The sequence below is a fragment of the Homo sapiens genome, chromosome 4 (genome assembly GCF_000001405.40).
Source record: "Homo sapiens chromosome 4, GRCh38.p14 Primary Assembly".
Classification (NCBI taxonomy): Eukaryota; Metazoa; Chordata; class Mammalia; order Primates; family Hominidae; genus Homo; species Homo sapiens.
This window is the reverse complement of record NC_000004.12, coordinates 71358584-71374072: the sequence shown is the minus strand read 5'-3', so window position 1 is coordinate 71374072 and position 15489 is coordinate 71358584. Positions and strand designations below refer to the sequence as shown.

Sequence of the window (15489 nt, the reverse complement as noted above, 5' to 3'; positions counted from 1 at the left end):
TCTAGAAGAGTCTTGGCCCATGATGGGTAACCTAAAAATCTGCTAGTGAAACATATCTTCAAAGATGGTCACAACACGTATGATGGGAGCAGAAATCTTAACTGTCATGCTTCTGTAAACCCAGCACCTGTGCCCATGAATGGTTTCCTATGATCTTCCTGGTTGCTACCTCCTGAGGCATCCTGGACTCCTTTCTCTTCCTCCCCTAACATTCAGTCAGTTATTGAGTCTAGACAACACCATTCCTATAACATTTCTTGCATTATCCCCTCCTTTCCACTTCCACAGTCGCAATCCTAGCTTAAATCCTTTTTCCAGCACTGGTCTACTGAAATCATCTCCTAACTGATTCCCACTCAAAGAATGACTGACAGGTTAATTTCCCTAACATAAAGTTCTAACCATGCTATCTCCGTACTAAAAACTTTCATAGACCTTCCACAAAATGGCCCAATTATTTTGCCACTCTAGCTCCACACATCTTCTTCCCATGCCCTTTCTGCTAATTTAATGTATCAACTCACTCTACCTCATACAAACTCTTATTTATACTTTCTCAACAACATGGTTGCTTTTTTACTTTTCTCTAGCCTAGCATGATCTTTCAATGTCTCACCCTGCTCTTACTACAATCTCTATTTACGGAAATATATAAGGTCCATTGAAAAGTCTGTCTCTCCCAAGAATTCTTTTCCCAATTCTCTGTTTATACCCCACCATTCATTCTTCTAATTAGTATTTGCAGAGAGTATAATAAATGCTACTGTTGTACACACTGTAGACAAACCAGTCTGCCCCCTACCCTCCTGGTGGCACTTACCATAGCTTCTCTCAAATGATTGTTATTTGTGAGTTTCCCTTATCTCCTTCCCTCTGATTGGACCATATAACTAGAAGAGTGGAAGCTTGGTGAACAGCTGTTGAATTGAACTTGTTAAAGTGAATTCTCTGGGTTCACCATTTTCCTAAAGAAGTAAAACTTTATGAAGACCCTAGAGCCAGAGAAAAATTATGTAATTTTAATTTAGTCAGTAAACTCTCCAAAAGTTAAAAGATTTTGAATTGTTTAATTCCAGAAATGCTCAAAGAAAAATTTTTAAAAGCAAAAAAATGTCCACTTACAATTCAGTTATTTAAATTCTAATGTTAACTGTGTAGCCTGATTGTAGGATGAAACAAGAATCTACAGTTATACCACTGTGGTTTCATTAAATAAAAAAAAAAAACAAAGAAAACAGTATTACAACTACTAATACTTGGGATGATAATAATAACATTAAACACTGGGTAAGTACTTGCAAAGCAAAACACTGAACTGGACCAGGTCCCTGCCCAGTAGATGGACAAACTAGACAGGTAAAATACAAAGCAAGGTGAAGGCAGATGCCAGGAATGTGCATAAGATGACAGAAAAAAACTCTGAACCTCCTTTTCTTCTTTGAAGTTCAGACCTGAGAGTCTGAAGCAGCTGATTTCGACTGCCAGTAAATGCAAAAGGACACAAGTGTTTTCTAAGGGCTCAGATGATGCTGGCTGCTAGATGTCAAACTGAATTCACAGATAAGCGCTAAGAGTGAAAAGCCATTCTGGATCTAGCAAGATAGGGTATGTTCTTATGCTCTAATAATGGCAAGGCATTTAGGTGGGTATTAACTTGTCCTGAAAAGTAGCTTCTCTTTGTTTTCCCCAGCCCAGGCTGGTTTCAGGCCTGCCGGTGAGATCTGTAAGAGGAAATCATTTTTGGTTTTGTTCCAAATTCTAATTCAATACCTTGGCAGCATTTGAAATGGATAAGAGCTCTAGGCTCACATCTGCCTCAGGTGACAATGAAGATAAGAAGCACACAATGTAAAAATGATGAGAGCTTACTCCTTAAAAGGAACTTTAAATGAAGCTTTTAAAGGTAGTTAGTAACTTCTAGTTACATTAGGCCTGAAAATATCTTGCTAAAATCTTTAAAGATAAACTTTAAAAAACCTTGTTACAAATTTGTTTTTAGCTAATATTCTGGCAGTTTTTTAAGTCCATGTTAACAATTAGAATAAATTGATAATCAAATTCATCAGACCAGGATATGCAGAAATATGGTGAAATAGTTTTTACAAGTAAACCATATTCACTTTTGGTTAACGGTTTCTGGTGACCAAGATGGGCCCTAGTGAAAACTGGGCTGTTGGTTGCTTTTAATGAAATGATGGAGTATCAAGGGTCAACAAATGTGTATTGTACAACACCCTTGTTTCAAGTACCTGCACCAGAGGAGACACAAAAGCATGAGATACAGACCCTAGAGAAGGCTTTTTTTTATGTAGATAGTTGAAATGAAAAAATAAAGACAATGAAACATCAGAGAACAACGTAAGACAATATATGGTAAATCTTCCATTGTGAGGCACAGAAAATAGGAGTTATGGAATTTTAAGACTTGAAAAGATCTGTGTTTATAAGAACTATTTTACAAAGGAGATGGAACTTCATTCAGGTCCTACTGAATAGTTTTGGATAGGTATACTGGAAAAGGCATTCCTGGGCCATGTGTGGTGGCTTACATCTGTAATCCCAGAGCTTTGGGAGGCCGAGGCGGGTGGATCACCTGAGGTCAGGAGTTCGAAACCAGCCTGGCCAACATGGCGAAAACCCGTCTCTACTAAAAATACAAAAATTAGCTGGGAGTGGTGGTGGGCGCCTGTAATCCCAGCCACTTGGGAGGCTGAGGCAGGAGAATTGCTTGAACTCAGGAGGCAGAGGTTGCAGTAAGCCGAGATCAAGCCACTGCACTCTAGCCTGGGAAACAGAGCAAGACTGTACCAAAAAAAAAAAAAAAAAAGGCATTCCTGGAAGGGTAGAGTTTATCAACAAAAACATGGAGGTAGGATTTTCCATGATATAGGACAAAAGAAAAGAGACAAGCTGATTAGAGTTTATATTGAGAAGAGACAAAAGTGAGGTTGAATAGGTAGGTAAAACCAGCAGTATTTAACACTACTTTGCACACCTTAGTTATTCACTAGGTGTCTATTTCATTTACTGAATGGATACAGTAAGTATTAGAAGCCCTAGGGAAGGTGATTATACATCAAAGCTGATTATTTAGGGAGAGATTACATCACATAAAGAGACAATGAGAAGAATCCTCCCTCATTACTAAAATGTGTTTCTCAGAAGGATTGGTCCAGGGTTTGGTCTCAAGTTGATTTCCAAATAGCTGCCATATTTCCATATCATCCGCAAACTGAACACTTTGGTCAATTTCCTTGACACTTTATCGACAAAAATACTTCAATGTCTGGATGTCTGACATGGAATAAATGAAACTTAAAAAAATAAAAACAGCTAGAATTTCTTGAGCAATTTCTATAAGAACTTTGCTATCAGCAGTAATGCTGGATTAACTGAGTGCTGAGCACTACACTAGATACTTTAGATATTTCTAATTTAATTCTCACAACAATCCTATGTTGGTAAGATTAACTCAGTTTTATAGTTGGTTGAAACACCCAGGTTTACGGTAAAAGAGTAATTTGCCCAAAGTCAGGAAGCCAGGAGTGGTAGATCCAGGATTCAGACCCATTCCTGCCTGACTTTATACTCCAAGGCCCAAACTTTTTACCTGAAATTTTTTTCCCCAAGAGGCATCATTAAGTAGTAAAAGAATTTATTAGAAGAAATGCTTGATTCTTGCAGAGAGAATCATGTGAGTGTTAGAGCTTCATTGTGGGATTAGCAGATCTTTTGGGCAATCTGACCATGTAAGTTTCCTATACTTTAACTTCAGTAAGGCATCACCCATAAAATTATAGTTGAAACTACCATATGATGAAGCTCAAGTCCTGCCCTACACACTTATGACCTGTGTGATCTAGGCAAGTTACTTAACCTTTCTAATTTCTTCATCTGTCAAATGTGGGTAATAACAATAGCCACTTCACAAGATTCTTCAGAAAATTAAATAGCATAACATAAAGTATTTAGTATTTGTAACTTTTATTATTCAAGGAAAATTATTAAGTTTCTATTTTATGGATATATCAAACTCATACTTTTCCTTTAAGATTTAGCTCAGAAAACACCTGCTCTAAAAGCCCTTTCTATTACTGCCACTCCCAGACCAAGGGTATGTTCTCACAATCGTGTGTGTGTGTATGTATTTTCATTCATTTCACTTATCATTTTATACAATTGTTATCTATTTATGTCCTGTCTCCTTCATTAGAAAGGAAACCCCCCAAGGACAGGGAATCACCTTATTCATCTCTTAATACTCTACTTTAAAAAAATTATATCACATATACTCAGTTTAGAAACCTGTGGGAAAGTGCATGTAGCTTCCTGTGCATGTTCTCTTTTGGTTTTAGGTACATAAATCTTGTCACTTTACCAAGCTCTAAATTTTTAAAAAGTAAAGATTCTATCTTATTCCCCTTTTTTGTTGTCCATAGCCCATTCTGTCTTTCTGGCATATAGTAGGTATTTGAGGTATTTAACATTATTAACTTAGTAAGCTCTTCCTCTTACTTAGCACTTGAATGCTTTCAAACCACCTTCAGAGACCTCATCTCCAGTGACCTTCCTCCCAGTCCTCTGAAGTAAGAAGGTTCAGCATCACCATGAGGAAACTGAGGTTCAGAGAAGTGTCCCATGGAGGGAGGGCTGCCAGTGCCAGCCCCACCCCTTAGTCTCACAATCCTTCCACTGCCTTACAATGTCCTCAACTTGGATTCAGGACAGCAGATCACCCAGGAAGTTCTTCATTACTGTACTCTTTGACAGTAGAAGAAATAAGTCAGCAATTACGACTTTAGGAATATTTACATCTTACACTTTCAGGCATTCTTGAGGTTTCCCTCCACTCAGTAACCATGAGCCCGATCTTCCTGCCCTCCCTCTCCCGACCACCGCCACCTTCCTTGCCCTTTCCCCAGCCATTGACTTACTTAGCCATCCCACGCTGGGAGTGCGCCGCACTCGGGGGTCATCATCCAAGGTGCGGGTTGCTAGGCAGGGCACTGAGTTCTCAAGCGGGCTGCGCACTTTAGTGTCAGAAGCAGAAGACAGGAGGAGGAGGAGGACACATGAGCAGCCACAGCAAGGATGAGGATGGAAGCATTAATTAAGAAGAAAAAAATGCTAAAGCAAATCACACAAGCGGGTTAAAGGAGAACAATGACACATTACAAAGACACACACTCCCTCCCATGCCCTGCACCCTTAGATGAAATGAATCCCCACAAAGAATGAAAAAGTCTAAAAAAATTACATTCAATCATTATAGTTCCCCAAATACCAATGGATGATCCACCCTGCAGTTCTAATACACAAAACATAAATTATATTCAGAAGAAGAAAGATTTACATAATAAACACTAATCTCAGGATGTAAGATCAAGATTGTTAATAATTATGAACCACATAAGCACACACAGAGCGAAGTTACACACAGCTTTGTAAAGCACAGGGGGCAGGGTGTCGTATTAGTAAGCAGCTTTCTTATGACCTACTCAATAGATAGGTCTATGGATCTTATGCACAAATGGAGAAAGCAACATTTCATACTTTCACTTCTGAAATATTTTCCTTGATGAATATAGAGCTGGATCTCAATTTCCTCTGTTTTTCAGCCCTTCAGAAACATAAGACTGGGGTAGGGATAAATTAATACCTTAATATAAGCCAATTTAAGGATGTATGTTAGTCCTCATTTTCTGGTGCCCTTTAATACTCACTTTTAATTTTAACATTTTAACCTTTGGTGCACCTATGCCAAATCTTAGACCACAGCAAAGATTAAATAATGTTGCAGGCTACATATACAGTATGGTTTCTCCAGATACATTTTATCACCTGGAGGAAACAACACCATCAACTTCTTCCTGAAGATAGTTTCATTTGGGCTCCATGTCATTTATTTTGCTATTCCTATTAAATGTCATGCTCCAAGGCTAGTAAAATAGAGACGGCATAATTATCCTTTAAGGAATCACAACGAGGTTGGAAATATCTAGCCATCAGACTACATGCAATTTGACTTAATAAAGATCATCATTAAATGATCAAGGCAGTAAACAAGGCATATCCAACCAACAGCAAATATGAGATAATCTATTCACATAAGTATGCAAACAACAGGGGAGACAAATGGTCTTTTTAAGGCTACTGATGACTTGGGAGGTCAAGGTTTAAAGTGAATCATTTACAAATTAATATAAGTTTATAGCCAAATTTGGGCATTCGGCACATTATAAAATCGAGAAACATTTTTGTCAATTTATCTGTCTGTGTTTAAAAGCTGTAAATAAAGCCAGGACTTGTGAGCAGGCCATCTGTGCCAGCACCTGTTTGAGGCAAATCTGATGTCTTCTCTTTGCAATCTGAATTTTTAATTGTTTCCCATAATTGAAGTTCTTTGCAACTTTTTATTGCACTAAGAAAAATGAAAAAGAGAAATGAATGGGTTGAGATTGTTCCCAAATTGCTTTTGTTAAGAGGGAGACATTTAGAAATGTATATTATCATACTGGCCAAGTTTTGCCTCCTATTTCTTTTGACAACTAAGTGATCTGCTTAAAGAGCCAATATTCCTGCAGGCTTAGCTAAATTAAATGAATTAGGCTAAACAACTGGCAAACATTTATCTAGGCCCAAGCAAGGACCCAGTGAAATGCCAGATCAGTGAGAACTGACAGAAGCTGATAATACAAAGGAAACTTCTTCAAAAGAAGACATGTCCTTTAGCTTCCAATTTCTTTAGAATGAGAATTCATATTCCTTTAGCTTCTAATGTGTATGTAGGTACCCAAATTTTATCACTGATACCATGGCTTGCTTCTAACGTGAGTAGAGGAAGTCAGCAGCTTCTCCAAAACTCATGCTGATAACTAACGTTCCCCAGCAGCTTCTCTCTCCTCTACTCCCCTCAACCTGTCAGTGTATTGTTGGGAACTAAAGCTGGAAATTTCTTTTTGCGTATACAGCCTCCATTGAGGCAGAGCCTCACCATCAAGGGGACAGTGGAATGAAGCCTGGCACTCGCCAGCAAAGAACCTGGCTCCAAAGACAGGCATGAAAATGGAACTGCCCAGAGAGACTCGGCACCTGTGTTTTAGCAAAGCCTGACTGGAGCCATCTGGCAGCTTACCCTCATGAAAGCTGAGACTTGCACAGCATCCATTACTTACATTGGCAAATGTCTACATTTTGATTTGTTGGACCCTCTGTGTACTTCTGTGCAGGAGGAGATATAAACTCTGTAACCCTTTCATGTTGCTTTTTTTCACTTCACAAATTTAACTCCAAATATCAAATTTTGAGAAGTCGTTCCCAAAGCTAGAGCAGAACTTTCTGTAATTATACCATGGTAATGATATATTATGTATGCCTTGTCTACACAATGCTTTCACCATACCTCTTTTACACTTGAGCTACAAAATAAACAGCTTAGCCTTGCTATTATCTTACATATTCTCTTTACATCACTTTTGCCTGACTTCAGGTATAAACAAGGTAGAAATTGGTTTATATTACCACAATCTGATGAGGAAAGATATAGCTCCGAAGGCTTTTGAGTGATGGTATCCAATATTTAGACTGTAGAAAAAGATGTTGTGAGGAATATTGTTTTACATGACCCACATTCCCCTTGAGAATCAACTTGTCCAAAACCATCAATCCTAAATCTGTTCATGTGAAGGTGTCTCTTTTTGAATCAAGCAAATAGATACACACACACACACACACACACACACACACACACACACACAATATCTCCAGAAAAAATGCTTTTTTTAAAACAATCCTATTAAGAAGAAAATAAATTTTATTCATGGTGAAGTTTTAGGACTCTTTTGGGATTGCAACATCATATGTTCAAATAGTCATTGAATGCTTCCTATGCACTCGGCACTGCTATTTAGACAAGAAATTTAACCCAAGATTATACCAGCATTTCACCTAAACACATGAAACATGTTGCCTAGAAATCTCCATTTGGAAAGCCAATAAAGACAATCATCTGTCTGCCATGTTTGGTGTGTTTTCCTGCTTAGATGTAGAATGGCCTCCAGAGCCCTTCACCATCACATTATTACATATGAGACCTGGACCGGGTGATGTGTGGGAAATAAATTATGATTGAGGAAGCTCATCCCCTTGTGGTTGAATTAGCATATGATTATTAAGCACACTGGGTTCCTCCATTTACTATGCTTAGACAAGTTATTTATATTTCTGACTTTCAGGTTTTTCATCTGAAATGATATATACATTAGAGCTACCATAATAATGTGAGGCATTATTCTTATTTCTACTACTAATATAGTTAATGGAATGACATTTTCTTTGTTCAACATCTTGAAGAGTGTTGGAAAACACTAAAGACAGAAATCCTGGCCTACTTTAAATTCAAAGTGTGGTTTTTAAGAAATTGGGTTCACAAACCTAGAAAGATCTCCTTTTTGTCCTTTGTATTTCTATGGATACAGGAGTTGAGTAGAATGAGGCATGCTTAGTCATTCTTGGAAGACCTTAATTTATCCCCTCCTTTAAATGAACCCATGGTGCTCATATTTTATGTCTCTATCTTGCTTACCCTTCTCTCCTTACTTTTCCCTGTCCTTCCCTCTCCTATATCTCTTTCACAGGGAGCAGGATGTGGTCCCAGATCTGCACCTACACTTCGATTGCTCCCAGAGCAACATGGGGCTTGGGAATACAAAAAACTTTGCAAGCGTGGCTCTATTAAGGAAACCAAGCCTTGGAAGAAGATTTACTCAGGGTTGACAGCAGCAAACCAGTTCAGTGTCCTTGAAATACATGACTTCTCCAGGAAAGGGGAATGAAGAAAAAAGCACTCACATGTGGTAGCATAAACGCAAAGAGAATCATTTCAGTTCTTTTACTCTCTCACAGACCCTAGATGTATAAAACAGACTGACAACTAGTAAAATTTAAAAATATGTTTATTACATGGTAACATCTTGCTGTACACATATTATTTCTTGATAGCTAAAACTGTCATTACTTAGACATAATGATCAATCTTTATACTCTAAATTTAAAAATACTAGAAAGCCCATGAGTGACAACTCATTATGTATTATTTGGCATCTGCAAAGTAGATAATGAAAGTAGCACTATTTTAAAAATAAAACTCCAAGAATATTTTCGTATAAATGAAGTAGTAGGCAAAAAATGGAGAGAAACAGAAAATAATAAAATGCAAAATAATGGTAGTGAATTGAAGTTCTGTCCTCAATTTTAAAGCTGAAAGTCACTAAATTTTCCCCCTAAAATATTTCTGGATAATAATTGTTCCTTACAGTGTGCTAGGATCTGAATGTTTGTATCCCCCCCAAAATTCTTCTGTTGAAGCCTAATCTCCAATGCAATAGTATTAAAAGGTGAAGCCTTTGTAAAGTGATTAAGTCAAGAGAGCTCCACCCTCAGGAATGGGATTCCTGCTCTCCTGAAAGGCTTGAAGGAATGTTTGCCCCTTCCACCTTGCGAGGATCCATAGAACGCACCATCTATGAGGAAAGGGCTCTCACCAGTCAGTAAATTTGCTGGTACCTAGATCTTGGACTTGCCAGCCTCCAGAATTGTGAGCAATAAATTTCTATTGTTTTAAATTACCCAATCTAAGCTATTTTGTTATGGCAGTATGAATGCACCAAAGCACAATGGTATCTCACATTCTGCTTATTTAATAATTTTCACAAAGGTATCTCATTTATTCCTGGTTATATGCACAGAATAAGACATCACTACCCTTATTTTACAGATATAAAAACTGAGGCTCAAAGAGATTATGTAAATTGCTCATAACCACAATGCTACTAAACATTTGCCAAAGAATTGAATGAAACCTCTGGAAATGATGGTCCCATGTCTTTAAAAAGAAGATTACAAAGTAGGCCTTCAATGTCAAACAACTAAAGACCCACTTGAGTTTTATCTCCTAAGCCCAACTCTTCATTGCTATAAAGAGTGGAATAGGTCAGCAAATACTGAGAGAGATTGACCCTTGGAGAAAAATGTGTTGTTTATTTAAAGATCTGAACATTATGCATTTGGAAAATCAGTCATCTGCCTGGAGAAAGAAAAGGAAAATAAGAAAATAAGAATGGTGCCTGATGAATGAGTTAGAAATACCATAATAACAATAGCCATAATAATTACTGTTATTAAGGAAGAGGATTTCATTCAGGCACTTTGCTAGCAACTTTCCATAGATCGGTTCATTTATTCTCAGGTGGGAAAGAGCTTGATCGTTATTTGGGTTCTGGTCAGGACATTCATCTGTGCTATGAAAATGAACGGAAAATGAGAGTCCTGAACAAAACAGGTGGATGTATGCTGTTGCTTTTGGGAAAGAGTTAATTGTATGCAGAAAGGCACATAGGAAGAGGATTCTAACCTTCAGGTGATGTGGGCCTGAGAGTTGCAAGATGTCAACTGACCTATCTGAGAACTAGAGAAGCATGATGGCCGGCTTCAGAAGCAGGTTAGGGAAATATCTGCCTTACACATTGATTAAGGGACCATGTCTGAATTCAAGGGTATGGGGCAGTTGGGGGGATGGCCTGGAAAGCAGAACAACCCAGCCTGAGACAAATGGGCAAGCTGGAATCCAAAGTGCAGGCAAAAAGTGAAGAATTTCTAAAGGGAACGAGAAAGCTACCAGACCTGGCGGTGGTCCCAGCCAGATCCAAAATAAGCCAGTGTCAAGGCATCTGGATCTAATATCAAACCAAATAGTCTGAATGGGCCTAATCTCAAATCAGATCCAATGCAGCAAGAGCCCAACTAATATCACTTATATTTCACTGGAGCCTAAAATTACTATTAACATAAAAATTGATTTCTTTCCATTGTTTGTTCTGCATTGCAAACCACCTATCTGTTACTGTAGGTAACAGCAATAGACTATGCTTTTAAAAATACCTAAAGGTGTGTGTGTTTATATCAAACCAGCAATATGGGAGACAGCTAGGAAGTGGCATCCCACCTGGCAGATAACCTTAAACAGAGGAGTCCAGATTCAGGAGTAAGTAGTGGCAACCCATAATGGGAGCAAGTGGATTACATTTCTCATATTTGAATTAAAAAAGAGGAAAATGGTGGTAAATTGAAGATAAGATGCAGAGGTTCTATCAGGAGCAGGCCCGGGGTGCCTACAAATATGGAGGAGACCACGGGCACCAGGAGAAGGCATGGGGAAAGCAGCAAGAAGCCTAGGAGCCAGCCGCTCTCCTTGGAGCTGCCACTGTCTCCAGCTCCTTATCTCCCTGATGGGACAACTTTACCAAGTCGTGGATTTCCAGTGTGATTTAGGACCCCCCCTGACACCCATTTAGCAAAAGATAAAACCAATGAAGGGAACAAATTATTACGTAAGAGGGCTATGATGAGAAAGGTCTTCCTCACCTCCCATTGCTAATGAAAGACTATTGGTATCACTTAACAAAGGGCAGAGGGAATAAATCAGCACTATATCTGCTAGTTTCTTTCCAAATAGTAAGCTACAGAGCAAGTATCATTCCAGAAACCACTCCTATTCAATATAAGATTTTTCTTCCCTAATTGTGCTTAAACATATTGTATAAAATTTACTAACATTTGTGGAGTGATTACTATGTGCCAGTTACCACTCTAAACATTTTATACATTTCTTCTTACTTTTCATTATCTCTCTTTCACAGACATCAAGAGCAACTACTAAATTATCTTTCCAATTTTTTATTGAAAAAAGAGAAACTTTTCACTAATACAAAGTGAGGTCGTAAAATTAGATTAAGGGAAAATGAAATCCATAGTCTAGATCCAATTAGATTACTAAAGCCAATTCTCAGCAAAGGGCATCTATACTCCCAGACCTTGGAAGGCAAGGAACTGATCTTTATGGTAATCTGGGGACAAAAAATGAAGAAGTTAGGAAAAAATCAGGGACAGGTCGATGATGGCTTTACCCAACTTTCTACAAAGGTAGAAAAAGGTGAATACTCAAATTCAGGCTCCTCATTGGTTTTGGTCCTTAAAGTCAGGTCTCAATGATTTTTTGCAAGCTTTGGGATAAGACAATACATATAAAAAGTACTCATTTAAATGGTACATTTAAAAAAAAGTCTGATCATCTTATAAACCACAACTTTTTAAAATGCAGTTGTTATGCTTGTCATAAACATCTTACTAAATATTTATTGAATGAATACCAATTAAGAAAAAACTTTACTTTTACTTTCTAATAAAAAGCAAACTAAATACATGTTTATTTTTTAAATACTACCAAGCAATGTTTCCAGGCTTAAACATTACTTTTTCATAATACACTAAATAATACAGAATTATTAGCTAAGTATCTCAGACCAAATTATTAGGTAGAATCATATGAAATTGCTGACAACTTAATTTTACCTTTGGCAATTTCATATAGTTCAACCTAAAACAATAGTGATAAATAAAAAGTAGGTAAGGAAAAATCCAACACCAGAATTACCTAAAACCTCATTAATTTCTTCATGCAACATTATAGAAATGCCTCAGTTAATCTACTGAGAAATGATAGCATTTGCCTAAAATTTAGTACCTGGCAGGCATGCCCATAGAATTTACACATGTCTCAAACAAGTAGCAATTTCACAATAATTAGCATTTTGAAAGCTTGCCTCACTGTTCCCTGATTTATTACAGATAAAAAATGTTTTTTGCTCCTTTTTAAAAACATAAAATCGTCTTGAACCCCAAGCCATACCAGGATGCTAAAAGACGAGAGTTAGTCTTTAGGAATAAAGACAGTAGTGTGCTGGTAGTGGATGTGCCAGTAAATGTTTGAAAACCGGTTACCAGGGGAAAGAACCATATTTATACATGAACGTGTGCGTGCGTGAGTATGTGTATGCATTGATTTTTACTGTTATAAAGGATATTGTCACAACCAAGTATAGAGGGGTTCCTGGAGAAACTCTGACCGGCCTGTGCACTGGGAGGAGTGCGCACTGGGGTGGAGCCTTGGGAATTTCCCTCTGTTCTCAGGGTGGAGAAGCCGGGCCGCTCCTCCTCCTGGGTGTACCTGGGATTCAATCTGCAAGGCAGGAAGCCTGTACTACCAGGACTCGCTCTGCTGAGAGTCCCTGTTTCCCTTTTTTTCCTTTTTGCTCAATAAATTCCATTTTTCTCACTCTTCAAATTGTGTGCAAGCCTAATTTTTCGTGGTCGTGTGACAAGAACCCCGTCTTTAACTGAACTAAGGAGAAGTCCTACAACAATATGTAGCACACATTATATAAATAATAATAAAATATACAATATTGTATTGTAAATTGCATATAGTTAGTTGATTCTCATACAATACTTTAGTTGATCTTGGCCAAACTCTTGCATCAGTAGCTAGCATATGGTTATGCTAGCTGGCAAATGAGTATAGTTCCAACATCCATCAAATATCCAACAAATATTTGTGACATTTGTTGATTAATATTATTATGTATGTTAACCAATAAGACAAAAGTGAAACAATGAAGATTGAATATGTCAGACTTCATCCATTTGTCAGTGATGTGGCTGACTCTTTTCCTAAATCAGATAACAGTTTTTGATTACTGAAAAAAAGTTCTTCAATTTTTTTCTGCTATTCATTTTAACAGTTATAGACACTTTACACTTTTAAATGTAATCTACATTATTAGCATTTTCTCCATCACTTCTTTAAGCCTAGAGACAAATGGTCAAAAAAAAAAATTTAAAAATCAAGCCCTGATTTATAGCATTTGCTGGTTTCTATGGGGTAAATACTACCATAACAGCCCATTTCAAGGTACCAGTATAGTCACTGAGGGAAGAGATGCACAACGGCACACTATTTAACAGTATTTCTACCACCATACAGACACAGTAGATACAAATAACCTTAAGAGCACAGACTACAGTAAAATGTAGTGAAACAGGCAGAAAGCAATAAATTTTCAGTATTCGTTATCTTTGTTTTAATATAATTATTAAATTGTATGTTTATATAACTTAATTTTTAATAGTAGCTGTATTTAACAACCAGCTTGCAAATCCCTGATATCAACTGGCTCTCCCGAGCAGATTAGAGCTGACTCCAGTACACTACCATGAAATGAAAAAATTCACAACTTTGAAGTTATCTCTATAAATTTCAGTTATTTATTACATTGTTGCTAGCTATAACTAAAGCTGGCAGTGTCACTGAATCTATTTTGTAGCCTATGATTAAAGACAAAGGTATACAAATTTATCTAAGCTTTACATGGAGATATTAGAATCTAGCTCCAACTACAACAGACTGAAAGATTGTGGTCTATTAAAACTGTAGGAATAATTCTACCTACAGTAATTCTATAATTTTTATATAGAAATTTAAACTAAGAACATTCCATTTATTAGAAATTTTAGTTAGAAATTTATTCTAAGAACGTTTGTTTAGAAATTTATTCTAAGAGAACATTTCATAGTTTTTTAAAGATATTAAGTAATTAAACCCTAAGATATAAAGGTAACTACGCAAACTTTCCAGTTAATAACGAGCACCTCTAGAAAGCCAAAAATTTGCCATTTGATGATTTATAAGAATGTACCTTGAAGGCATACAAAATTCATTGCTAAAGGATCTCTCAAAGCTAAATCTTGCCTCTGGATATTTAAAAGAAGTTAGGTAGCATTAAGGCAAATAACAACATGTTTAAAAAGGTCTAATCATATTCCACACTTCAGAGTGTAAGCTGATCAGCTGAAGAGCTGGAAAAGAACTGCATACCCTTCCTATTTGCTTTCTGCCCAGCATATATAACATTTCACAAGTGAAAAGATGGATGGCAAAGGCAATTTCAACTTTTCTCTCAAGTACAGAGATCTACAGATAGGATGAAAGATTGAATGGCGAGCGATATTAACTCATTAGTTGTATTCCATATCCAAATACTTTCTCCTAAAGCACAAGATTCTGGCCGCCAAGATCCATCTGTTCCTAATTTCTACTCTGCCTGCAGTTCCATGGAAATGAAGCTCATCATATTGGTAGAAAGCCTCCTGCATGCCATATTCATTCCACTTCTTTTTGAAAATATAGCAGTATTTGAAAACAATGCACTTTTTCACTTCTTTATACTTCCCCCAACCCCATGATAAACGAATTAAATCAGCAAATATTGGGATTTCATCTTACATAAGAAAGTGGATTATTAAATAAGAAATAAAAGAGTAGCTTCAACTTTAATTGCCATAATTTCAAAAATATAAATTGTTAAATAAAATATTTGTGACATCAGTTATAATAAACTACTCATTCTATAACTTTCTAGCCATTAAGTAACCCCTCTTTCCAAAAACACAACTAAAACAACAAAAAAAAAGCCAGGGGAGACATAAAAACCAAAATATTTCCCATCAGCAGCAATATTCTAGGTAACAGTAGAACCATCAAACTGTAGTAGAAATACTGCAGATTCAATTCTCTTTTGTGATTTTTGTTAATAA

General features: G+C 37.0%; 1 protein-coding gene across 11 annotated transcripts in view, besides 2 other annotated features; it reads right to left on the bottom strand.

Moving 5' to 3' along the window:
- SLC4A4 (solute carrier family 4 member 4) overlaps positions 1 to 15489 on the bottom strand; it is a 509424-nt gene that overhangs the window by 198011 nt on the left and 295924 nt on the right. Inside the window, exon 1 of one of the 11 annotated variants that reach the window (XM_047416348.1) lies at positions 821 to 2808. The exons of the other annotated variants lie outside the window; for them this stretch is intronic. Within the exon in view, the coding sequence (XP_047272304.1) occupies positions 821 to 823 (3 nt within the window). The 5' untranslated portion in view covers positions 824 to 2808. Of the gene's footprint in view, positions 1 to 820; positions 2809 to 15489 lie in introns of those variants that run through there. 11 annotated transcript variants of the gene reach the window in all.
- Positions 4418 to 4917: an enhancer, noted in NCBI's record as "H3K27ac hESC enhancer chr4:72234873-72235372 (GRCh37/hg19 assembly coordinates)". NCBI's record gives its function as "activates a minimal SCP1, AML or CMV promoter by ChIP-STARR-seq in primed H9 embryonic stem cells {active_cell/tissue: H9 hESC(primed)}" and the evidence as "EXISTENCE:reporter gene assay evidence [ECO:0000049][PMID:30033119]".
- Positions 4918 to 5419: an enhancer, noted in NCBI's record as "H3K27ac hESC enhancer chr4:72234371-72234872 (GRCh37/hg19 assembly coordinates)". NCBI's record gives its function as "activates a minimal SCP1, AML or CMV promoter by ChIP-STARR-seq in primed H9 embryonic stem cells {active_cell/tissue: H9 hESC(primed)}" and the evidence as "EXISTENCE:reporter gene assay evidence [ECO:0000049][PMID:30033119]".